This window comes from Homo sapiens, chromosome 13 (assembly GCF_000001405.40).
Source record: "Homo sapiens chromosome 13, GRCh38.p14 Primary Assembly".
Lineage (NCBI taxonomy): Eukaryota > Metazoa > Chordata > Mammalia > Primates > Hominidae > Homo > Homo sapiens.
The window spans coordinates 99,002,057-99,026,878 of record NC_000013.11 but is presented as its reverse complement, the minus strand read 5'-3'; the positions used below and the strand labels follow the sequence as shown (position 1 = coordinate 99,026,878).

The following is a 24,822-nucleotide window of genomic DNA, read 5'->3' as shown; positions in this document are numbered from 1 at the left end:
ATGTAATGTTTATCTTTAGGTTTTACATTTAAAATTTAAATCTCCTACATTGTTGAGATGACTAGACTGGCCTCAATAGAGCCGATTTTTAAATATGAATAAAATTTCATATCTCCTGTTAACCTTTTTCCATCCCTCCTCTGATTTTTTTCTCCAATTGGTATTTTTTTCTTGGATCTTGAGAACTTTGTGGTTAAAGCAGAGATGAAAATTTTGTGGGAAAACATCTGCAAAATAAATTTCTTTGAATGAATTGGGATAGATGGCTTGGCCCTCAGGTCCAGACCTCCCTAACATAATAAATGAACCAGTTATTGACCAGACAAAAGATTTCCCTTAAGTGCTCTTTAATTTTAAAGCAGAATAGCTTTAACTGGCTCTTGATGAAGAAATCATCTTACCATTCTTAGCTGTCCTCTCTTCTGCATATGCAGTGCCAGGAGTGCTTTTGGGCATTTGCTGTGTTAGGGTAGTGATATGTTTTGGAAAGATAACGGTATTGAAATTAGGGTACTTTCAAGAGAAATTCAACTTTGGATTGATGTACCCTCTGATATGTGCTGTCTTGTTTTTAAAGAAACACCTTTATCAGGATATGATTCATACATGAAATGATTCATCCATTTAAAATGTTCAGTGGTTTTCAGTATATTCAGAGTTGTGCATCCATCACCATAGTCAATTTTAGAACATCTTTATTACTTTCCAAAAGAACACTGGACCCCTTAGCCATCACCCCGGAACTCTGCTCCACCCAACCCCCTAGCCCTAGGGAACTGTTTTTTTTTTTTTTTTTTTTTTTGAGACGGAGTCTCGCTCTGTTGCCCAGGCCGGACTGCGGACTGCAGTGGCGCCCTAGGGAACTGTTAATCTGCTTTCTGTCTCTAGATATTTGCCTGTTCTGGACATTTCATAGCAGTGGATTCATGCACTATGTGATCCTTATGCGGGGCTTCTTTCACTTAGCATGGTTTTAAGAGTCACCCATGCTGTGGCATGGATCATACTTCATTTTTTAAAAGTTGGTACATAATATTTCATTGTATTCTGTAGTTGTTTATCCATTTATCAATTGATGGACATTTGTGTTGTTTCCAATTTTTGTTTATTATGAACAGTGCTGCTAAGAGCATTCATGTATAAGTTTTTGTGGGAACATATATTTTCAACGTTGGGCATCTAGGAGTGGAATTGCTGGATCATACGGTAACCTGGGTTTAACCATCTGAAGAACAGCCAGACTATTTTCCATAGCGGCTACGCTGTTTTGCATTCCCAGCAGCAGTGTGCGAGGGTTCTACTTTCAACACATCCTCACCAATACCTGTTATTTTGATTAGCAAAGCCGATCGAATTGGTATACCAATCCAATTGCTACACCAATACTTGTCTTTTTGATTTTAGCCATCTAGTGAGTGTGAAGTGAAAGCTCATTGTCGTTTTGACTTGCATTTCCCCAATGATTCTTCACTTGCTTATTGTCATCTTTTTTTTGTCCTATCTGTTTTGTTTTGTTTTTGTTTTTGTTTTCTTTTTAATATGGAATGCTTCATGAATTTGTGTGTCATCCTTGTGCAGGGACCATGCCAGTCTTCTCTGTATCATTCCAATTTTATAATAGTATATGTGGTGTTGAAGCAAGCACCTATTTGTTTTTAATTGACCGGGAGGGATAGCAATAATTGTAATCTGTCCAGTTCTTATGTGGAGGATAGTTTCTCCTACATTTCCCCACTTCTTTGACCTAAATTCACATAAACGTCAAGGAATGTTTGATTGAAGTAACACTCTTTTAAAACCTAGTTACAGTTAAGTCATAACCCAACTGGCTGTATATAAAAGAGAGTCTTGTGAAGGTTCAGAATTTTGTGTCTTTGTGAAAAGAAATTAAAACCTTGTAAGGAGTCAGCTAAAGAATGTAAATTTTTATGAGCTTCTATAAACAGGGAAATATGGAATGTTTAGTTCCATTTAACCTGACTATAAGCCAGGACAAGAGAGTACATATTTTATTTTGTGTCTTTTTACACTGCTTTTAAAAAAAATAGGACTATTTTGAAAAATTGCACTTCCCCTCCTATATTTTAGAGAGGTAACCACATTAGTATCATTATTACTTTTGATTAATCTAATTGAAAATCTCACTAAATTGCAATAGTTTTTAAAAAGTCAAATTCAAATCTTATGTGTGTTTTATGTTTTCCTCTTCGCCCTCAAGGAATATTTCTTCATGTTGAGACAGCATTTCTATACTGCCACAATGACAGTAAAAGACTTAAAACAGTCAGCTGCTAAAATGTAAGATAAAAGTAACTGATGTATGTAGAATCTGAATTTTAGTCTCTTCACATGTTGGAACAACTTTTCAACAGCCATAACTCCATATATGAAGAACGTGAACAGTTTCAAGGGTGCATTTGTATGCAAGTTATACTTTATATCTCTTTTATTGTTTAAAGTCAGTATACCCTGCCATTAAGTGATCTTTTTGGGTGTCTGCCTAAAATATAATTTCTTTGGGAATGGCTGGTGGAGGCCAAGAAGAGGTCCTTGAGTTCTGACTTCATTATGCCATTGAGTTTGTCCTGCTTCCTTGTTCTTCATCCAGTGTCTAATTTACAGTGGGGCCATGGGTGCTTCCTGCGCTCATGTGATCCTTGGTGCCATCAGCCCTTGCAGATGTGTTCACTGATGCTAGACGGCTTTGCCAATAGATGTGCTGTTTGGCAGCTTTTTATGTTTGATACAGCATCAGCATTTATGGATTTATTGGTTTTTCTTTAAAGAACTGAGCTCCCTAAGAAACCATGGTTTTGCTCCATGACCTCCTGTAACAGTAATTTAAGTTGCCACTTCTGGCAGGTTCCTGAGCTGAGGGGTCAGTTGGACCTGTGTACATTGTATTTGTTCATTCGTTTCATGGCTGTCAATGAAAGTAGTGGAAGTTGTCTATGAATCAGAAATTTAAATCTCAGGCATCTTTTTTTCTGTGATGCTATATAGTTGGAAGGTTTTTCTAGGAAGTGCAATGCAGTCATTCATCGCTTAACAACAGGGATAGTTCCTGTAGCTTATCTTCCCTTTGTGAGGGGCTGACAGGCCAATGGAGAGAGGACGAGAAAAGACCAGTTACCATCCTCGTTTTTCTGGTCTTACACCTCACCTGTTTCTAGAAGTGATAGGAAAACAATGCCCAACAAGTTGGTTTTCTATTTTTAAAAAATATGGAAAGATACCTGTAACATAAGATTTATCACCTTAACTATTTTTAAGTGTACACATCAGTGATACTCGGTACATTCACATTGCTGTGCAGCCATCATCACCATTCATCTCCAGAACTTTTTCATCTTCTGAAACTGTAAATCTGACCCCATTAAACACTAACCCCTTATTTGCCTTCTCCCAGCACCTGGCAACTACCATGCTACTTTCTGTTTCTATGAATTTGACTATTCTAAATACTTCAAATGGAATCGTGCAGTATTTGTCCTTTTGTATCTGGTTTATTTTACTTATCACAGAGTCCACAGATTTCATCCACGTTGTAGCATATGTAAAATTTCTTGCATTTTAAGGCTGAATAGTATTCCATTGTGTGTGTAGATACCACATTTTGCTTATCTGTTCATCCACTGATGGACACTTCAGTTGCTTTCGCCCCTTGGCTGTTGTGAATAACGCTGACTATTGTGAATAATGCTGCCTATGAACGTGGGTGTGCACATCTCTCTTCAAGTCTTGCTTTCATTTCTTTTGTGTCTATTCCCAGAGGTGAAATTGCTGGATCATATGGTAATTATGTTTTATTTTTTGAGGAATTGCCAAACTGCTTTCCATAACAGCTGCACTATTTTACATTTCTACCAGCAAATAAGCTGTTTTTCTTAAATGTTTCTCCCTTTTGAAGACCTGATGGATTGATTTTTAGAGACAGGGTCTGTCTCTATCTCTCAGGCTGGAGTGCAGTGCCACAGTCATAGCTCAATGCGGCCTTCGATTCCTGGGCTTAAGTGATTTTTCTCGCCTCAGCCTCCTAAGTAGCCAGGCCTACAGGCTTGTGACATCACATCCAGCCAATTTTCAAATTTCTTTTTTTTATAGACTGGGGTCTTGCTATGTTGCTCAGGCTGGTCTTGAACTCCTGGGCTCAAGCGATCCTCCTGCCTCAGACTCCAAAAGTGCTGGAATTATAGGTGCTAGCATTTCTGGCTGACCTGTGTTATTTTAAAAGCTATTTAACTTGATCTCCTACCAGAAAAAGGAAGATTCTCTCATTTCTTTTGAGTGACTGTGGTCTCTGAAAGACCCCCACCGTCCCTCCCTGGACGCTTGCTCCTTGGAGCTAGGTCTGGTTGTTTCCACTTCCTTTCACTTGGTCACTCATTGAGCTTGCCAGTTGTTAGAGCTGCCCACAGGAACTGTTTGCCACCCTGACATTCTGGCACCAACCTGGAGAAACCTGTGTTCTTTTGCGTTCTCTACTTTTGAGAACATTTAAATAACACTATTAGCAACAGACCTGACTCCAATATTTTACGTGGTCATAACTTTAGGGATATATTTTTAGCAAAAATATTTTACTTCAGAGTGGTCCAGGCAGAAGGAGTACAGCCTTGAGCTCTTGCAGGGGTCCAACAACTCCTGTCCACACTGTGCCCTCTGGACCTGCCCGTCACCTTTGTTCACTTCAAGGTAACTGGCACTAGACATCTCAAAGTGTTCTAACTCTCTTGTGTATTGAGATGGGGAAAATAGATGATGGATAAATTTAAATATGCAATAAGTCGAAATTTTGAAGATTATGTTCCTGAAATGCACCATGGTAAGAGTTCACACTTTTATTTAAAATGTACTTATTTAATAATACTTTCTTAATTTCCATTATTTAAAGTCTTTTTTTAATTTTAAGTTCTGGGATACATGTGCAGAATGTGTAGGTTTGTTATATAAATATATGTGTGCCATGGTGGTTTGCTGCACCTATCAACCCGTCATCTAGGTTTTAAGCCCCGCGTGCATTAGGTATTTGTCCTAATGCTCTCACTCCCCTTGTCCCCCACCCCTTGACAGGCCCCGGTGTTCAACTCCCACTTATGTATGAGAACATGCGGTGTTTGGAGAAAAACCTGTCTCTAATGGTCATTGCTGAAAGCTCCACTCCTTATTTTACAAGCTATCTTAACTCTTTTTTCATGTTTCAACATCCCCATTTCCCTCTTTTTTTTTTTTTTTTTTTTGAGACAGAGTCTCACTCTGTCACCCAGGCTGGAGTGCAGTAGCGCGATCTCGGCTCACTGCAAGCTCTGCCTTCCGGGTTCACGCCATTCTCCTGTCTCAGCCTCCCGAGTAGCTGGGACTACAGGCGCCCGCCACCACGCCCGGCTAATTTTTTGTATTTTTAGTACAGACAGGGTTTCACCGTGTTAGCCAGGATGGTCTCAATCACCTGACCTCGTGATCCATCCGCCTTGGCCTCCCAAAGTGCTGGGATTACAGGCATGAGCCACCACGCCTGGCCTTCCCTCTTTAAATCATTTTTTCAACAAAAATAAAATTTGTTGTTTGAATTTGCTATATCTGAAATTCTCATGTATTTGAATTTTGTATGAGATGCTTGTATTTTTAGAAGAATTACCCTACTTTTAGTCTCATTATCAGGGAAGAAAACCATTTAATTTGGGACAAAAGAAGAAGAGAGACCAGCATTTATTGAGCATGTGGTATATACTAGGCTCTGTGCCAGATACTCTAATTACATTTGATTATATTGATTGGTTATAAAAGGAACGAGGCATTGAGAGACCAACTTACATAACATTTCTTTGCTCAGCAGAATTCACTGCCTTGATTTATGAAATATGGACTGTCAGATATGGAAGTAAACTTTTCAAATGGACTGGCTATCATAATGGCATTTAAATAGAATGAATGACGTGTTAGACTGAATTCTATCTGTCCTCCCTTTACTTAGATTTGGTGAAGTGTGCTGTATCATGTATGAGGTATTATCATTATGTGAGATCTTCCTTTCAGCCACTGCAGAATGGAGAGAATTCCTCTCCTTTCCTGGCCTCCTAAGATAGACCCCAGGTCTGATATATAAGTAGAAGACTTATATCTGTTTGAAATACAGTATTAATTCCAGTTTATAGTTCTAGATTTTTTAGGTGTCACTCTAGATTCCTCTTTTTTCACATGTTTCTAGAAGAGTAGTAAATACGTCTACCAATCAAAATAATTTGTCTGTTGGAATACATTTAAAACAGAAAGTCAGCAAAGAGAGAGCTGTAGGTGGGAACAGCAGCTGCAGATGCTTAAGCTTTGCAGGAGCTCAAAGCTTGGGACCTGTTAGCTATGGTCTCAGGCTGCATGGCTGAGGTTTGTTATGACCACCAAGTGGGCTGGCAGGTCTTAACCTGAATTTATTTTCTGTGCGGGCTTTCTGGGGGGTTGTGCAGCCTGGAGCCCCTTTCCCAGGTCTAAAATGCACACCCTGAGGTAGCCCCAGCCACCTCCCATGTTAATGTGGTTTAGTATATTGCTGAGAAGTGGGACCAAAACAATGTTCAGAAATTGTTGAATTTATCAAGCAAGGTGCTGTTTTAGGTTACACAGTAAATCCTTTGTGAAGTATAAGACAATAGGTACTTACATATTTCTAGCAATTTCTTGTTGAGTTCTCTCCTGTTACCTTATTTGAACTTGACAACCTATGGGGTGGGCAGAGTAGGTGCCATTCTCCCCACCCTCATTCTTAAATTTTTTTTATTTTTTGAGACGGAGTCTCACTCTATCACCTAGGCTGAAGTGCAGTGGTGCCATCTCAGCTCACTGCAACCTCCACCTCCCAGGTTCAAGTGATTCTCCTGCATCAGCCTCCCCAGTAGCTGGGACTACAGGTGCACACCACCATGCCTGGCCAGTTTTTTGTATTTTTAGTAGGATTGGGGTTTCATCATGTTGCCCAGGCTGGTCTCGAACTCCTGACCTCAGGTGATCTGCCCGCCTCGGCCTCCCAAAGTGCCAGGATTACAGGTGTGAGCCACTGTGCTTGGCCTCCCCACCCCGATTCTTAATAGCAGCTTTGAGATAGAATTCACTGTCAGGGCCACTCCACAGAAACGGGATGGATCTCCTCCACTTGGCCACATTTGCTTTAGATACTGAGTCAGCTGACATCACACCCACCCCAAGAGGATGTGAAATATAATGAGGCTTTCTGGGGAGAATAGGACAGCTCCCAAGAGGTCCTAAAATGGCTTGAGAGAGCAGGGAAAAGAGACTGGCTTGGCTTTTTTTGGTGATGATTATTGGGGGATGGTGTGGAGTGAGGGTTCCCATTGAAGGGTTTGAATTTACTGTTGGTGTCATAAGAGGGAGCCACCTGGACTTTCCTCTCTGCCTGCCCAGATGTGGACAGAAAGGGATGAAGGAGGAATGAGGCTTCAAAGCATCACAAGTGTAGTCACTTTTTAAAAATTACATTCACACGCCATAAATGTATTCAATTCAGTAGTCACAGACTATATGTGTGTATAGATTATATATACATTTGAGAATATATATTAGAAACACTTTAATTTCTGAACATTTTCATTACCCTAAAAAGAAACCTCATACCCGCTAGCAATGACCCCATATTTCCTGGTCTCCCTAGCCCTCCATAATCACTAATCTGCTTTCTATCTCTCTGGATGTGTCTGTTCTGGAAATTTCCTTTCAGTAATACAATATGGGGTCTTTGGTGCCTGGCTTCTTTCCTTCACATAATGGTTTTCGGGCCATTCGTGTAGTGGCATGCATCAGTACTTTGTTCCTGCCTGTGATTGAATGATACTCCATTGTGTGGATGTGCCATATGAGTTTGTCATTTTAAAGGATGATTCATTTGGAACATCTGAGGGTGAGATGGTAGGAGAGTCAGGTGTCAGTATTAGCAGGAGAGGAAGACCTGGGCCTGCATCTCAAAAGGGATTCAAAGGCAGACATTTAGTCTTAGGAGCTGTATAAATTAGAAGTGACATTTAAAGATGGGAGAGTAAATGTGATCTCCAAATTGAAATATATACTCTTTTAGGTGGCTACACTGGTTGCCAATAGATACCATCCATCTATTCATGTCCTCTGATGAAATTCATGGTAATTTTCAATTTAGAACAACTCAAGTTCATTCTGATACAGAAAAGTCAGTGAAACCAAACATACCTTTTGAATTACTCATTTTGTCTTGCTTCTATTATCATGAGACCTGTTTCTGAATACTTCACTCTAAATATTTTCTGTTGCTTTTCAAGAGCCCACTAATTTTGTTGGTTGGAAAATGACTAATACTTAAAATTTGGCACAAGTTGCTTCAATGTGTATATGTCTTGGTCCATTTTCTGCTGCTATAACAGAATACCACAAACAGGGTAATTTGTAATGAACAGAAATTTATTCGTCCCACTATTCTAGAGTCTGGAAGATGTAAGAGCATGGCAGCAGCAGCTGGTAAGGGTCTTCATACCACATCATCCTGTGGTGGAAGGTGAAAGGTGGAAGGAAAAGAGAACATGCAAGAGTGAGAGAGAGAAAGGGGACTGACCTCATTCTTTTATTAGAAACCCACTCTTGAGAACACCATTAATCAGTGAGGCTCTGCCCTAATCACTACTGGAAGGTCCCACTTCCCAGCACTGTCCATTGAAGATTAAGTTTCTAACTCATGAACTTTGGGGGACACATTCAAACTGTAACATTTTATTAATTTATCTCCAGAAAACATTGCTTTTTCCTTTGAATGAGTTAGGAAATTGTTTCATTCTCTCTTATTGTTTTTTTAAAATTTAGCTTTTACTTTTATTTATCTTTTTTAGCTTTATTGAGATATGATTGGCAAAATTGTATAAATTTAAGGTATACAATATGATGATATATGTTGTGAAATGATTACCACAATTGAGTTAGCTAACACACCTATTACCTCACTTAGTTACCTTTTTTCTTTATTTTTTTGTGGTGAGACCATTTAGACCAAGCTTGTCCTACCCGCAGCCCTCAGGCCACATGTGGCCCAGGCTGGCTTTGAATGTGGCCCAACAAAAATTCGTAAACTTTCTTAAAACATTATGAGATTTTTTGTGATTTTTTTTAAAGCTCATCAGCTATCATTAGTGTTAGTATATTTTATGTGTGGCCCGAGACAATTATTCTTCTTCCAGTGTGGTCCAGGGAAGTCAAAAGATTGGACACTCCTGATTTAGACTCTTGTTTTAAACACGAATGGAGGGTTCTAAAAGTAAATCAAACAGCATATACCAGCAGCTTCCAATTTGCTTGGTTATTTCTAATTCTCGGTAAAGTTCAAACGTAATCTTTTGTATCTCAAATAATATTCCCTGGCTTCTGCAGGCAGGATGTCTAAAATATGTCATAACAATAACAAATTAATTTTACATTTCCAGGTACTCTCTTTATTTCTGTTGAATGAACTATTGCTTTTAAAGCTATTTCTCTTGCTGTATAGGAGTCAGGTTAATTGGTAGATTTTCTGAATTCTCAAAACTGACATTTAACTTATGTGTTTAGTGTTTTATAGTCTCCAATATTCAGTTTCTGGGTAGGTGAGTTTCTAGTTGTTTATCTGTCAGCATTGTGATTTCGCATGAAGATTCTCCTAGTGTCACAACTTGGGTGTAATCTTGAACCCTATAGCTCTGTTTTCACAGAATCACCCTTTGGAAGTGGAATGCTCTAGACCCCAGAGGGTCATCCTGTTTTTTGCATGTGGCCAACATCTCCCCATCTTTGATCTTGTACAGCTATCAGACACACTTTGCATAAAAATACAGGAGAGAGAATAAGCCTAGATTTTTGGTTTTCTGTGGGGCCCAATGGCTAAACTACTCATAGAAAACAGACATTATGGGATCACGTGCCCGGATGGTATTCCCTACAGGTATGATTTTACTACATGCGTGGGTTTACACAGCCCCCAGGTACTCAGTCAGTTAATTCACTCTAACTTTCACATCTATAGAGAGAAATGAAATTATCTGTTGCCTTGTGAAATAAGGAATAATATCAGAGCAGATTTTAAAAGATTGATCACTTTTTTCCTAGTTACATATTGTGGCTGGGAAAAGTTTTCCTGTATGTGCAGCATGGTCTTTTTATATAGTTAGCCTTTCATTGTTGAAGAAGGAAAATGGCAAGAGTCAACTTGGTATCATATCATTGACAAGCTTCCCTGTTAGCCATTCCCAGAGATTCACGTGAGGTAGTGTAGTGTCACTGAGTTCAGTCTACAGTAGAAGGAGTTGGATTACTTACACACCAAACATAATCATGCTGACTGTGAGACCTCAGCATGTATTTCCCATTGCATACTGGAGTGCTGCTTCAGAAGGCATGCATCTAGCCAGACTGGGTAGCCCTTTATTCATGTTCTCATTTGCATCTTTGGGTACCAGAGACGGGAGAATCCTTTTAAGCAGTGCAATCTTGCTAGCCCTCTCTAGCAAAGAGTAGAGGTGGGCTGAAGTCAAGATCGACACAGCAATGTTGTGTTCCCTTGTGGTTTGCTGTCAGCAAGCTGTTATCCATACGTGCAAAAGATTGTTTGAAGTGGGCTTGCATGTGTTTCCATAGCAGCAGTCATCTTAGAGATTTCACTCGTTTTTTGGACTTTTTTTTTTCCTTTGCTTCTCTGTTTCCCGCTGATGCAGGATTAAATAAACAGCATATTTAGGTCAAGGAAAGAGATGTTTGCTAATATAGATGCTAGGCTAAGCATTCTGGGAGAGCGATTTCTTGCAGCAGATGAACATTCTTTGTGCCTCCCAGCAGCATCTGCAGCAGTGTGGCTGTCTGGCACTGTCTTTTTCATTTTGGGCAGGTTCTGAGATTCAGAACAATCCCAAGCAAATCACAGGAGCCGGCAGTTTTCCAGTAGAGCCACATGTAAATCTCCTGCTTATTTGTTCTTTGGTATTAAGAGTGAAGCAATCAGCTAGAAAAACGATACTTTAAAGGTTTGGTGCATCCGAGGTGTGTCATCTTGTGTTTGCACCACCCCTCCTGTTTTACACTCGGAGTCTGGATTTTTTGTCAGGCTGTTGAGCAGGAGCGGATTCTAGTACGGCAGCTCAGAGCTTCCCTTCTGTTCCAGTACCGGTGACTGCTTGTCACGAAGATGGTACAGTGGGAGCCTGTTTCGGAAGAGCCAAGGAAGAGGATGTGGAAATGGAGTAGAGATTGCTAAAAAACTGAACATCCACACCTTGGGGATGGGTTGCACTACTAGTGTGATTCTGTTTAAAGGCATCCGCACCGTTTTTGAAAGAAACTGTGCTTATATGTGCAAACAGCAAGGAGAGAATAATGCCCTTGAATATACAGCATACAATTGGACAAAAGAAGATTCAGAACTATTGATCTCCTCCTGGCTGGTAAATGCTATCTTGCTTAATTAACAAGTAGTTTAATGGTGTTAGAATAAACTAGTCTTTACTTGTAAACAAATATATTTATTTAAGTGTACTTATATGTATGTAGTCTGTGTGTATAAATGGGTAATTAGTGGCCTTAAGTTTAAATTATGAAGTGAGTGTTTGTATGTGTGAGAATGCCATGTATTCATCAAAGCTAAATACATACAGAGAAAGGAATAAGATATTTTATTAAAGAATAGTTTTCTAATGTAGCTTTATCAGCTTACATGTTCTTGGTATAGTCCTAGAAATAATATGTGGTAAAGTGTATATTTAGGGTATTATATATGTGAACCGTCTCCCAGTTATAGTGAATTATTTAGCCCCTTTACATTCCAGTCTTCTAGTTGGCCAGGTTTTTCTTACTAATGGCTTATGGCCAGTCCTTGATGCGGGGGGGAGAAATTTAAAGGGAGCATGAAAGAAAACTATGATGGGTATGAGACAAATATTTATAGTTTTATTTTTTTAAAAAATCCAGCTACTTAACATGTTTTGGGGTGAAGGGTCTTGAGAGCGAGAGGAAGTGCAGTTTGACATGACACTTCCGTGTTCTGTCCCTTTATCAGGCATGAAGAGGTGTCAAGTCACAGATGGGTGTGCCTCTTGTGGCCTTCCCACCAGCACCAGGTTTGTGAGGAGCCACATATGGGTCTCCTCCTCTCTCAGGATGCCTTGCCATTTTTCCTTCTGTTCTTCTCACAGCTTTTGTCAAAATGAGTGGGGACAAATATATCTCAGAGTTTCTGTGTGTGTCTTGCCAGCAGCTGCTTGGTACAGCGAAGCATGCAGAAATGCTGAGACCTTTCCCGGCTGGTGAGGCTACCATCTGAGACTGAGAAGGGGGTATTGGCATGCCATATGCCCTTGTGATCAGATTGGGTGGTCCCAGCCTGCGGGAACCCAGAGAGAGGATGCATTTTATGGAGGGTCTTATGTTAGCACTCGCAATATGTGGGAGGAAGAAAGGAGAGCATCACTCAAGGCATCAGATGCATTTTGCAAGTCAGTGTTATGTATGTTGGAATTTAAGTGGTGCTATATTAACTGTTAAATATTTTAAGCTCTGAGGTATTTTGGAATATGCTTTTGCGAATAACTGGTATCAGAGATTAGAAGGACTAGCTCCTTGTAGCGCTCTGTTCCATTAGTGTATCCATAACCAGACAGCCCGGGACCTGCTTGGGCCAGTAATGGCAGTGCCCCTCCCATGCGGCAAGCTTCTGCTCCCTCAGACCAGACTGACTTGTCTTTGGTTAACCTGACTTTAAGGGATTCTGCTTGTTTTTCTTTTCTCTTTTATTGCCTGGGGGAAGAGTAACCTGCCAGGGGCTCTGTCAGAGCTCTGGGTCTGGGATTCTAGAACACTGCTGTCATGCATCCTGTCGGCTGCTCTTTGCCCACCACTCTTGCCTGCACCAGCAGGCCGTCTGTGCATGTGGCAGAGGTGCTGCTGGATGGAAAGATGCGCCCTCTCACTCCACGCTTGTCTCTCTGTTGGTGTCGTTGCCCTCTGGGACCTCTTCTGCACGCAGCAGAGTGGCCCTCTGAAAACGAGTCAGACCATGTCACTCCTCTGCTCTGGACCTTCTGCAGCTCAGGGTCAAATGCAGAATCTTTACAGCAGCCTCCAGCCCCGTCTCCAGCACTTCCTCCTTCTCTTCACCTGTGTGTCTGTTTCTCTGCTGCTCATTCCTCACCTCGTTCTGGATACCCAGGCTGCCTTGCTGTTTCTACTTCCCAGGACATCTCCACCAGGGATTGCACCATTCATTGCGTGGCCTTTGCTCAGACCCCCTTCTCAGTGAGGCTCCTGTGACCCCCTGCTTAACCCTAAAATGCCCCGGCACACCTTTCCCCAGATCCTGTATAGTTTCTTCTTCACCTGACGTATTCTTTGTCCAGAATAACAGCATAAGCGTAGTAATAGTAATTAGTAGTATGTGTTACTAGGAGTACACTTATAGTACAACAAGAACAAGATTCATGGCCAGGTGTGTGGTGGCTCACGCCTGTAATCCCAGTGCTTTGGGAGGCCAAGGCAGGAGGATTGCTTGAGGCCATGAGTTCAAGACCAGCCTGGACAACATAGCAAGACCTCGTTTCTACCAACAACAACAACAACAAAATAATCAGCCAGACATATGTTGACACACACCTGTAGTCCTAGCTACTCAGGAGGCTGAAGCGGGAGGGTCACTTGAGCCTAGGAGTTCAAGTTTACAGTGAGCTGTGAGTGCACCACTGCACTCCAGCCTGGGAAACAAAGCAAGATCCTATTGCTTAAAAAAAAAAGAATCAGATTCATGATACCTGGGATTTTTGTACGCTTTATTCACTGCTCTTCTCCTAACAGCTAGAACAGTGCCTGGCTCTATAGTAAATGCTCAATCAATGAGGGAATGCTGATGAAATGGCTTTACGGTCCTGAACTTGAACTTGGAGAAACTACTGAGAAGATTAGTTAAAATCACTTATTCTAAAGCCAAAATGTGTGTTTTTTTAAATTTTTAGTTTCCCCAAACAGTAACTGGCTCTCTGTTAATGATCTCTCTGAGCCTGTTGACCATTCCACTCCCTAGAGGTGTGCTTCTAACCCTTCTGTCATGGTTACCAAGAACACACACCAAGAAGTTGTGTGGTTCATGGTTGAATGTTCCCTGGGCTTGCAGTGGTAATGACTGACAATTGGATATTGTCCAGACTACCTCTATTGATGACGCATTTCTTAAGGGAGCCCTGCCCATTGGTACTTCCTTGGGTCACCCCCATGCAAAGATAGGCTGACTTTATCTTCATATGTGGGTTTGCACCAGGGTTCTCAGCTTGGGTAGGATGTCTGTCCTACCTCCAGCTCAGGTGGTGGCTCCAGCCTGTGATTCTGGCTTAACTGTCATCAGGTAAGAGCTGTATTTCACCTGCCCTCAGAAAGCAAAACCCCTACTTCAGCTACTCAGTGTGCACCAAGCCTTTGTGGAGGGAATGTAACATTCATGAAGGATGGCCTAAAGGGCTCGAGGCCACCCATTCTTCTGAAGACCCTAGATGTCCCAAATATCTATCCATCTGTCAGAGAACCACATGCCTGGTCTGCCTAGTTTGTCCTCAGTGGAATTTCTGTTTCTGATCTAAGCTTTGTGATTTTTTTCTTGCCCTATACTGAAGCACGTCATAAGAAACATACTTAAGAAAATGGAATCTACTATAAGGATGTTATTGAGGGCATTGCTTACTTGCTATTGGAATGGCAAGAGGCACTGTAGTATGGTGGTTAAGAGTGCTGATTCTGGGCTGGGCGCTGTGGCTCACACCTGTAGTCCCAGCACTTTGGGAGGCTAAGGCGGGTGGACAGCCAGGAGTTCGAGACCAGCCTGAGCAACATGGTGAAACCCCGTCTGTACAAAAAATACAAAGATTAGCTGGGCGTGGTGGTGCATGCCAAGTAGCCCCAGCTACTTGGGATGCTGAGGCTGGAGGATCACTTGAGTCCTGGAGGTTGAGGCCACAGTGAGCTGTGATTGCACCACTGCACTCAAGCTCTGTTGACAGAAGGAGACCATGTCTCAGACAAACAAATAAACAAAAAAAGAATGCTGATACTGGAGACAGCCTTTGGGGTTTGAATCCTCTTAAATTCACAACTTAATAGTTGTGTGACTTTGGGTAATTTACTTAACCACTCTGTTCCTCAGTTTCCTTATCTGCTATTTGTAGATAATAATGGTACTTGCCTCATAGGGCTATTAAATGAGTGAGTATGTCTAAAGTTCCTAGGTGATTGTCTTGCACATAAGTGTTAATTGTTAGCTGTTATAATCATTGTCATTTCTGTTTTTTGGTGTTCCTTTTATGAGGAGCCCTGGAATAAATTTCTTCTCTTCATAATATGAATGGTTGTGCTTTTCATGAGGAACTACTTTGTTTTCATTTTATATACAGTCTGGTTCATGTAGCTGATCCCAGCCAAGTCATCAGTTAACTGTTAAAGCTTATTTCCAAACATATGACCAAATTCTAGCAGGTTCTAGGCTTTTTCAAAATGACTTTTATATTGCCCTTCAACTTTGCTTATTTTTTTATATTACCTGCCATTTTATCAGTCTGCTTTTTATCATCTGCTTATTAAAATACTTTTAAATTTTATTATGTATATATGTAAATAACTTTAAATCCTTTTGAAATAAGTTACAATATAAATTAAAAGGTAAGGCCAGGCATGGTGGCACACGCCTGTAGTCCCAGCACCTTGGGAGGCCGAAGTGGGTGGATCACTTGAGGTCAGGAGTTCAAGACCAGCTTGACCAACACGGTGAAACCTTGTCTCTACTAAAAATATAAAAATTAGCCGGGCATGGTGGCACTGCCTGTAATCCCAGCTACTCAGGAGGCTGAGGCAGGAGTGTCACTTGAACCTGGGAGGTGGAGGTTGCAGTAAGCCGAGATTGCACCATTGCACTCCGGCCTGGGCGACTGAGTGAGACCCTGACTCAGAAAGGTAAAAAGGTTAACAGAGAAGCATATAGTGAAGAAAAAGCCTTTTTACCATCACTAAGGATGGCTCTGAAGTAACAAACAGATGTCTTGAGTGCAGGATTTAGCTTTGTAAGGCTAGGGCTGTTCAGGCTCCTACTGGAATTTATATTTAAACAGTGAATCAGCCATATGGTGGGCGCTACATTAGGAGATGTACTTCTCTGGTAGTTGGGGACAGGCTGAATTTCAAGTATAGACACCTACATTTTGACTAGTAATTCTACCACAGTTGAGGGACAAGACTGATTTGGGAAGATCTTATTCCTGAGTGTAGATTTTTCCTAAAGTATTTCCCCTTTTCGGATTAATTGACTGTGTTAGTTCAACTCATTTAGGAAGCAGTCTTGATTGCTTATGTGTGCTGAGTGTACAAAAATGATGGGGACGCTGACACATGGGACACGCAGGTACTGCCTGAGGACAGGAAAGGATAGCTCAGCCTAGAATCTCCAGTGGAGGTTCAGAAGGAAGCTTGGGCTGAAACAAAACACATTGTCAATTCAATTTTTCCTTGTCTAGGCAAGTTTGTGATGGGGCTAGCCTTCTGGCTAGGATTGACCTATTTTACTCATAGCTACCAATATCATATTCCACGTCAAGTAGCTGTGGAAGAATTGAAGAGCTGATGGATTATTCTCAACATGTTCTGTTTTTGCCAATTATAACTGAAGTGGAAGAACTTGCTCGGTTAGAACTTTAACAGCAGCTAGGACCCTGTCAGCTGCTTAATGAAGAGCAGTAATACAGGCAAAGTGCTTGTCACAAGAGGAGAAAATAAACTTGTCTTCAGTTTCTTTTGTGACATGTTGGGATAATGCAGCTGTAATTTTACCCATTGTAAATTAATATTTCTCTCTCTTTTTTTTTTTTTACCTTATGGCCTTAAAACCTTAAAGTTTTTCATGTCTCTGTCATTACAAGATTTCCTAACTGTCTTCAACATGTCTTCATACTTTAGTACTATATAAACTTTTATCAGACCACTTTAATCTCCCCAAACAGTCCCGAAGGACTAAACAGTCTTTTCTAATGAGAAAAACCTACCGGCTATGAAAAAAATCCTTTAATTGATCATGTACTTATTTAACAGTCATTTGTTGAATGTGTGCACTGTGCAAAGACAGCAGAGTTGAAGATGATACGCTTTCTGGCCCCTGAAAGCCCCCATCCTGCTTGTGTGTCTGTGGGTTTGGGGGTGGGGACAGGTGGGATCTCGGGGGCTGGCTGAGAGGTAAGTGAATAATCAGTGACAAGGTATGTGAAAATGGAATAATAATACCTGTTAGCTGGAGGCAGGCAGGGAAAGTAGAGGCCAGATCTTGATTATCTTAGGTGTTCTCATGGCTTTTTCTTGTACATTTATATCGGTTTTATCTGCCTCGAGGTGTCATGAAGGCCCGGAGCCTGCTTGGCTGCCTTCTAGTGCCAGAATACTCCTTGGGTCCAAGTCTGGTCACAGCACCATGGTTTGGGTAGGCTGTTTTCCATTTTAGTTCTAATATTTTTCTTAATGATGCCCGGTGGGTTTTGTTGTCTGTTTTGATCACAACAGTAAACTAGGCTGATGTTTTCAAGGAACAGTCTGCTCTGATTCCTTGATCCATTTCCTGTGTCATAACTAAGATTGCCCTGCTCTATTGTGGCTGCTTTTGAGTGCAGCCAATGTGTGTGAGCACGAGAGAGGGCCAGACCTTTCCCCAGAACTTTGTTAAAATATACTGTCTTATTTATCAGTGGGATTCCTTTGCTTTAATATTTATTAAAGTATAAACTAGTAATGCACACTTATTGTAGAAACTAAGCATGCCAGTGTCCAGGAACACAGAGACAACTGCTGTTTTAAACATTTTGAGACACAACCTTTCCAGATATCATTCACAAATACCACTATTCATAAAAATATATGTAACAAGTTGCAATGGACTGAATTGTGTCCCCTACCTCCCTATTCATATGTTGAAGCTCTAACCCCTAATGGGACTGTGTTTGGCAATAGGGTCTTTAGGAGGTAATTAAGGTTACGTGAAGTCATAAAGGCGGGGCCCTAATCTTATAGTACTGTGGCCTTAAAGAGGAAATGATCCTCCTGGGACCCCGCCAACTCAAGTGAGGACACTGGAAGAAGCCAAGATAGCCTTCACCAGGCCCTGACCATACTGGCACCCTGATCTCAGACTTCCAGTCTTAGAATGGTGAGAAAATACATTTCTGTTGCTTAGCCACCCAGTCTATAGTATTTTGTTGTAGCAGCTTTAGCTGACTAAGATACAAGTAGAGTATAAGAAGAATGTTGTTATGTTATATAGTCTTGTATCTTGCTTTCAAGAGACTCCACATGGGCCGGGCGCGGTGGCTCACGCCTGTAATCCCAGCACTTTGGGAGGTCAAGGCAAGCAGATCACCTGAGGTCAGGAGATTGAGACCAGCCTGGCCAACATGGTGAAACCCCGTCTCTACTAAAAATACAAAAATTAGCTGGGTGTGGTGGCAGGCACCTATAATCCCAGCTACTCGGGAGGCTGAGGCAGGAGAATTGCTTGAACCCCGGGAGGCGGAGGTTGCAGTGAGCTGAGATCACACCATTGCACTTCAGCCTGGGGGACAAGAATGAGACTTCGTCTCAAAAAAAAAAAAAAATATATATATATATATATATATAGAGAGAGAGAGAGAGAGAGAGAGAGAGGCTGCACAATATATCATAAACATCTGTTCATGTCAATGAATGGACATTTATGTCTCATTCTTAATGGTGTCATTTCATTTTACAGATGTAACATTTTATTTAACCTATACCTTCTCTTCCATTTTCCTTTCCAATTATAAATGTTGTGATAAATATCTATGCATATATACTTTAAACATTTATACAATTGTTTTCTTAGCAGATTTCCAGATCTGGAGTAGCTAGCTCAAAATATATTTACTTGTTAAAGGATTTTGGTATGTATAGCCAGACTACCCTCCAGAAAGATTATTTGGAGATTTTTAAAAATTCAAGATAAGAAAGTTTGTGTTCACCTCTTCTGACTTCGAGCAGTTTGTTTTCATCATTGCTATTTATGAAGTTGATGATGGGGTCACCTGTTGAACAGAATACAGTGACTTAGATTGCTGTATACTTAGGCAAGTAACACAGTCATATCAGGGTTCAAATTAGCACTAATTTTGCCTCTGCTTCTGGAAGCATGATCATGAGCATTCTTAAACATCCCAGGAGAGTTCTGAAATGTTCCATTGTGGGGGCTGGAATGTGTTTGTTCTGAGAGGTCTTCACCCTTTTAGAGTTGATATAGCTATTTCATGGATATTCAGAAGTAAAGAGCAGCAGCAGAAATACTGAGTAGAAACAGATGAATAAAGCTGCTACTGCTTTGCTGAAGTTGATTTCTATTTCTCCCATGGCCTTAGTGAGAAGCAGTGACCTTTTTGCTTTTTATTTTTTAATTTTTAAATTAAATTAAATTTTTATTTTTATTTTTTTTGAGATGGAGTCTTCTTCCGTCACCAGGCTTGAGTGCAGTGGTGCAATCTTAACTCACTGCAACTTCCCCTTCCTGGGTTCAAGCAATTCTTGTGCCTCAGCCTCCCGAGTAGCTGGGATTACAGGCACGTGCCACCACACCCAGCTAATTTTTGTATTTTTAGTAGAGACAGGGTTTCACCATGTTGGCCAGGATGGTCTTGATCTCCTGACCTCGTGATCCACCCGCCTCTGCCTCTCAAAGTGCTGGGATTACAGGCGTGAACCACTGCACCTGGCCTAAATTTTATTTTTTTGAGACAGGGTCTGGCTCTGTCACCCAGGCTGGAGTACAGTGGTGCAATCTTGGCTCACTAAAGCCTCTGCCTCCTGGGCTCAAACCATCCTGCCACCTAAGCCTCCTGAGTAATTGGGACTACAGACAAGCACCACCATGCCTAGCTAACTTTTTGTATTTCTTATAGAGACGGGTTTTCACCTTGTTGTCAGGTTGGTCTGGAACTCCTGAACTCAAGTAATTCACCCACTTTGGCCTCCCAAAGTGCTGGGATTACAGGTGTGAGCCACCACACCCCACCATGCTTTTTGCTTTTTAAAAGTAACATTTGTTGTCTTTTATATTTAGAATACATAAGTACTGTAGAAAATTTAGAGACCACAAAGAAGAATAAGAGGAAAACAAAAATTACCCATAACTCACAGCCCAGAAACCAAAACTGCTTAATTTGTGGTATGTGTTTTCTGATATTTTTCTCTGCTTCTGCAAATATTAAAAAAGGGATAATTGTCCATAAAAATTTCTGATGCATTTTTCACTTACTGTATTTTATTATGAGCATTTTCTTATGCCCATAAAGTTCTGCTAAAACATGATTTAACATATGTATAGTATTCCATTGTAATATATGTACGGGAATTTATTTAAATACTTCTCTGTTGTTCAGTATTTAGGTTGTTATAAATCGAGATTACAGAAGACATCTTTACCCAAAAATCTGTGTGGATCTATAGTTATTTTTGTAGGCTAGATTTATAAAAGTGAACTTGCGAAGAATGAATTTTTTAAAGGCCTATTAAGGCATATTGTTTTATTGTGTGATGACTGATCCAAGTTACACTCCTAGCAGCAGGGACTATTAGTGCTTTTTTTATATATGATCCTGGCTAGCATCATTTTTGCCAGTTTGAGAAACAAAAGATAACACCTTTCAAACTCTAAATCCTTCGTTATCTTCATCACGTGTTTCTCTGTTTTGTCATTTGCCTTTTGATTTTGTTTAATTTCTTTATGGTACTTATTTTACTAACTGAGGTTTGAATGTAAATGGTATACATAACCATCTTTTCCTCTGTGGTTTCTTCCATTACCTTTATGCTTAGAAATTCTTGCCTATCTGAGATCAGATATTCACCAGTATTTTCTTTTGGAATTTGTTTGTTTATTTACTATTTGTCTTTTCCCCTCAGGGTTAGCAGACTAAGTCTATGGGGCAAATCTGGCCTGCTGTCTGTTTTTGTAAATAAAGTTTTATTGCCACATAGCCACATTTGTTTTTTTATATTGTCCAGGCCTGCTTTAATGGTGCTAGAGTTGAGTCATTAGGACAGACACTTATTTAAGTCAGCTGATAAAGTCACCTGATAAATATTATCAGCTGACCTAAAATATTTACTAGCTGGCCCTTTGCAAAAAGTTTGCTGTGCCCTGCTTTAGTAGATTTAGAATTTATTTGGATTTATAGTTTAGTTAAGATCCTAATTCAATTTCCTACCCATTTTTCCCAGTCCCATGTTGAATAATCCATTCCTTACTCAGTGGTTTGTGATACTGCCTTTATTATATTTTATGTTCTTTTATATACTAGGCTTTGCAACAATTGGAAGAAAACCCTAAGGCCTTTTCCTTTTTCCCCTACTCCCCATTTTTTTCTTTAGTGTTCTCTGTGCCCTGCAAAAGCAAGGTTCTTATACAGCTGTCAGTTTAATTGCAATTCAGGAAAAATGAAAACAAGAAATTTGGGGAGAGACATAAATTCTATAATTTAAAGATAGAATAAACAGACTGTACTGCGTAAGTTGCTGAATTAAGTGATCTTATGAGACATATTGGTTAAGATTCAGGAGCTAAGGGTTAAGGTTTAAGTGAGCAGTTAATTATATTTGTAGGTTTGTTTCCTCAGTAAATAGCCTGTTCATAAAATAGATCAAGCTTGTCTTTATGTGGACTCTCTGGGGCATTTTGATGAAAGAAAAATTCCAGCGTGGCAGCTGCATCCTCAAGTAACCTTGATTTGAATCTACTCTTTTTTTTTTTTTGGTATATCCGGTCTTTGCTAACAAAAGAAGTCCCAGCAAAATATAAGCAAAGGTGCTAGCAGAGTTTCCAAACAAAGTCTATTCATGTCTGCAGGAAATATATCTGTACATTTATAGATGAAGAGTACATTCTGGTTTTCCTTTTATACATTATACAAATTCTAAGGATAATTAATTTCCCTCCTTAACTAGATTTTATAGTGTATACGAAGGTTTGGATATGAATATGTGTGTGTGAAGTACATGTGACTGTGTGTGTGTGTGTGTGTGTGTGTGTGTGTGTGTGTCTATAGTTTTTTGGTCAATGCAGTACTAGAATATTGAATAAAGGTGTACTTTACTATTTTTCAAATGTCAATGAACAATGAATGACCTCATCCTAGGATACGTTTCAATCAGCATTTGTTTCTCTGCCAAGGAAAAACACATATCCTAGGAGACTCAAAGTAGAAATGACTTGTGAACAGAAGCAGAGGGACCACTTGGAGCCAATTGCCGATGATAGGTGTTTTCTCTGCTTCTTGAGTAGGTTCTGCCTTTGCAGAGTCTGTGGAGTGAGACTGTTTATGGGATTCTCAGATGCAGTCCTGTATGCTAAATAGTTTTATGGATGTTTGGTATTTCCTGTATATTTTCTAGGCTTAAGAAACAGGTAACAACATTATCAAAGACTCAGTCTTGTAACTTATTATTTCCTTGTGCTTTCTTTATTGTTGAAGAACAACTGGAAGAGAATCCTGAGGTCTTTTCCTTGTTCTCCCCCAACCTCCCATATTTTCTTCAGTTCTCAGACATCCATTGGATGTTTGCCAATTACAGGGTGGTATGATATGAAAGAGTCATAATCTCTGCTCTCAGAGGGCCCATAAGGCTGCCACGTGGGATATGGGCCATGATGGGGGTAAGCACAGGTACCACAAGCACCTACGCAGGGCTCCTTGTAGAAGGATTTAACCAGGTGAAGGAGAAGGAGAGGGACGTTTCTGCAGAGGGAGCAAAGTCCCAAGGAGGGAGAGCTGAGGGCTCCTTGGAACTGCTAGTAATTCCACAGTGCTGGAGGGGGCTTATCAGGCTGTAGGACAATGGTGGGAGTAGAAGGGTGACCAGTGAGGCTGGAGAGGTAAGCAGGGGACATATCATGGTGGGTCTTGTTGGAACTTTATTCCTGTATTAGAGGGAAGCCATTTAGTGAAGGTTTTAAAGAAACATGTTCATGTTTTTAATGAATCTCATACTGTACTTATCCTGCAGGGTGGATAACGGCTTAGAGAAAGGAGAGGTCTCAAGACAGGAACACTAGTGAGGAGGTCATTGGGGGGTCACAGGTGATGGTGGCCTGAAGCAGGTGGTGGAGGAGATAGAAGATTTAAGAGAGTGTTAAATGAGAGATTTGGCAGTTAAATAAGAGACAAGGAGTCAAGAGTGTTGGTATTTGTGCCCTGGGCACCTCCAGGGTGCCACCTGCTGAGGTGGGAGCACTGAAGGAATGGATCAGGAAGAATTGGGAAAGGAGGATTTCAGTTCCAGACATCTTGAGTTTGAGGTTTAGCGCATCACAACATGTAAACCAGTGGGATGCGACTAGTAGGACCATAGCTAGAGTGTGGATCCCAGCACAGACAGATGTCTGGTAATGAAGGATGGAAGGGGATGAGATCTCCTGGTGAGCGTATTCAGAAGGCAAAGAGCCAAGGGCCCTGGAAGGGACAGGAGAAGGAGCTGGGAAAGGAGCCTGGAGCTGAGTGCTCAGGGATGGGGAGAGCCTGCTGTGCATCTGGAAACAGAATCTTAGCTAAAGAAATAAATGCCAACGGCTTGAAGACCTCTGTCTGAGTGTGTTTGTTTAAGCCTCTTGCCTCTAGTTCACCAACACCATCATCTTTACTGTCCGCAGGAACATTTAACAAAATATGTTATGTGCACACCATCCTTTTAGGCACAACAGAATTTCAAGGTATCCCCTTGGCCTGGAAGGGGCTTGTGTAGTAGACTGGGGAAAGAATTGATCATTGAATAAAACCATTCTCTTCTTCTTTCCCCTCCCCTCCCCTCCCTCCATCAGAAGAGCAGACTTCTATTGTTAACTAGTTATCATGCCGTTTCCATGTCTATTTACTTGTTCCATCCTTATGACAACCCCCTGATGTAGAAACTGTGGTTACCTTTATTTTATAGATGAGGAAGCCAAGGAACAAAGAAAAGTGTAAATACTGTTTAAAATCACACAGCAAGTGAGTAGGACGGGCCAGGATTCAAACCTGTCACTTAGTTCCAGAGCCCTGTGTGCTCTTTCCCTCCATACCACAGAGTCCTGCGTGTCAGCTGAGCTTAGCAGAAAGGTGAAGTCAGGACAGTGCATGGAAAAGTTCTCAGAAATGAGCAAACCCCACGACAGTGGAAGAGTGAGAAAAAGATGAGACAAAGTTGAATGGGGAGCCTGGTCTAGCTTGGGAAGCAAAAGGTAACATTAGTAGAAAAAAGTTGCTGAATTCCATGAGCAACCAAAGGCTGTGTGAACCCACTGACCAGGGACCGTGGAGAAGGATAGAAGAGAAGGTGACACCTGAGCTGGGTTTGAAGGATGAACACAGATGCCTAGGAGGTTAGAATGTGGATGTGGGTGGGGAGGACGTTGCCCCTGAAGGGAGTAGTGTGTTCTGTGATGCTCAAGGAAGCCTGAGAAGCTCAGCCTTTGGAATGCTCTGGCCATTTGTGCAGAGCTGCACACGTGGGCTGAGAAATTTATGTTCAAGCCTGAAGGCTTGCAGGGCCCCTGAGGGGTGATATTAGATCCTCCTCTCACATCAGAGTGGGATCAGAATCAGAAAGGGAGAGACAGGGAGAGCAGGAGTGAAAGCTCTGATCCCCCACACAAACCCTGCGACCAAGGGGATGAAGGGAAAGGGTCAAACTAGAGAATTTTTATAGATTTACTTTTTACTAGAATTTACTTGACTGATGCACAATGGAAGTGAATGAGGGAGCAGGGGTAACAGTGCCCCATGCCCCATCTTC

At 41.0% G+C, this 24,822-nt stretch overlaps 1 protein-coding gene and 1 pseudogene across 17 annotated transcripts in view; one reads left to right on the top strand and one right to left on the bottom strand.

Moving 5' to 3' along the window:
• Positions 1 to 24,822, top strand: part of DOCK9 (dedicator of cytokinesis 9) — a 295,191-nt gene that overhangs the window by 61,741 nt on the left and 208,628 nt on the right. For 6 of the 17 annotated variants that reach the window (NM_001366677.2, XM_006719936.2, NM_001366676.2 and 3 more), the window contains exon 1: positions 11,094 to 11,432. The exons of the other annotated variants lie outside the window; for them this stretch is intronic. In NM_001366677.2, the coding sequence (NP_001353606.1) occupies positions 11,271 to 11,432 (162 nt within the window). In that variant the 5' untranslated portion in view covers positions 11,094 to 11,270. Of the gene's footprint in view, positions 1 to 11,093; positions 11,433 to 24,822 lie in introns of those variants that run through there. 17 annotated transcript variants of the gene reach the window in all.
• On the bottom strand, positions 1,534 to 1,645 carry RNU6-83P (RNA, U6 small nuclear 83, pseudogene; annotated as a pseudogene).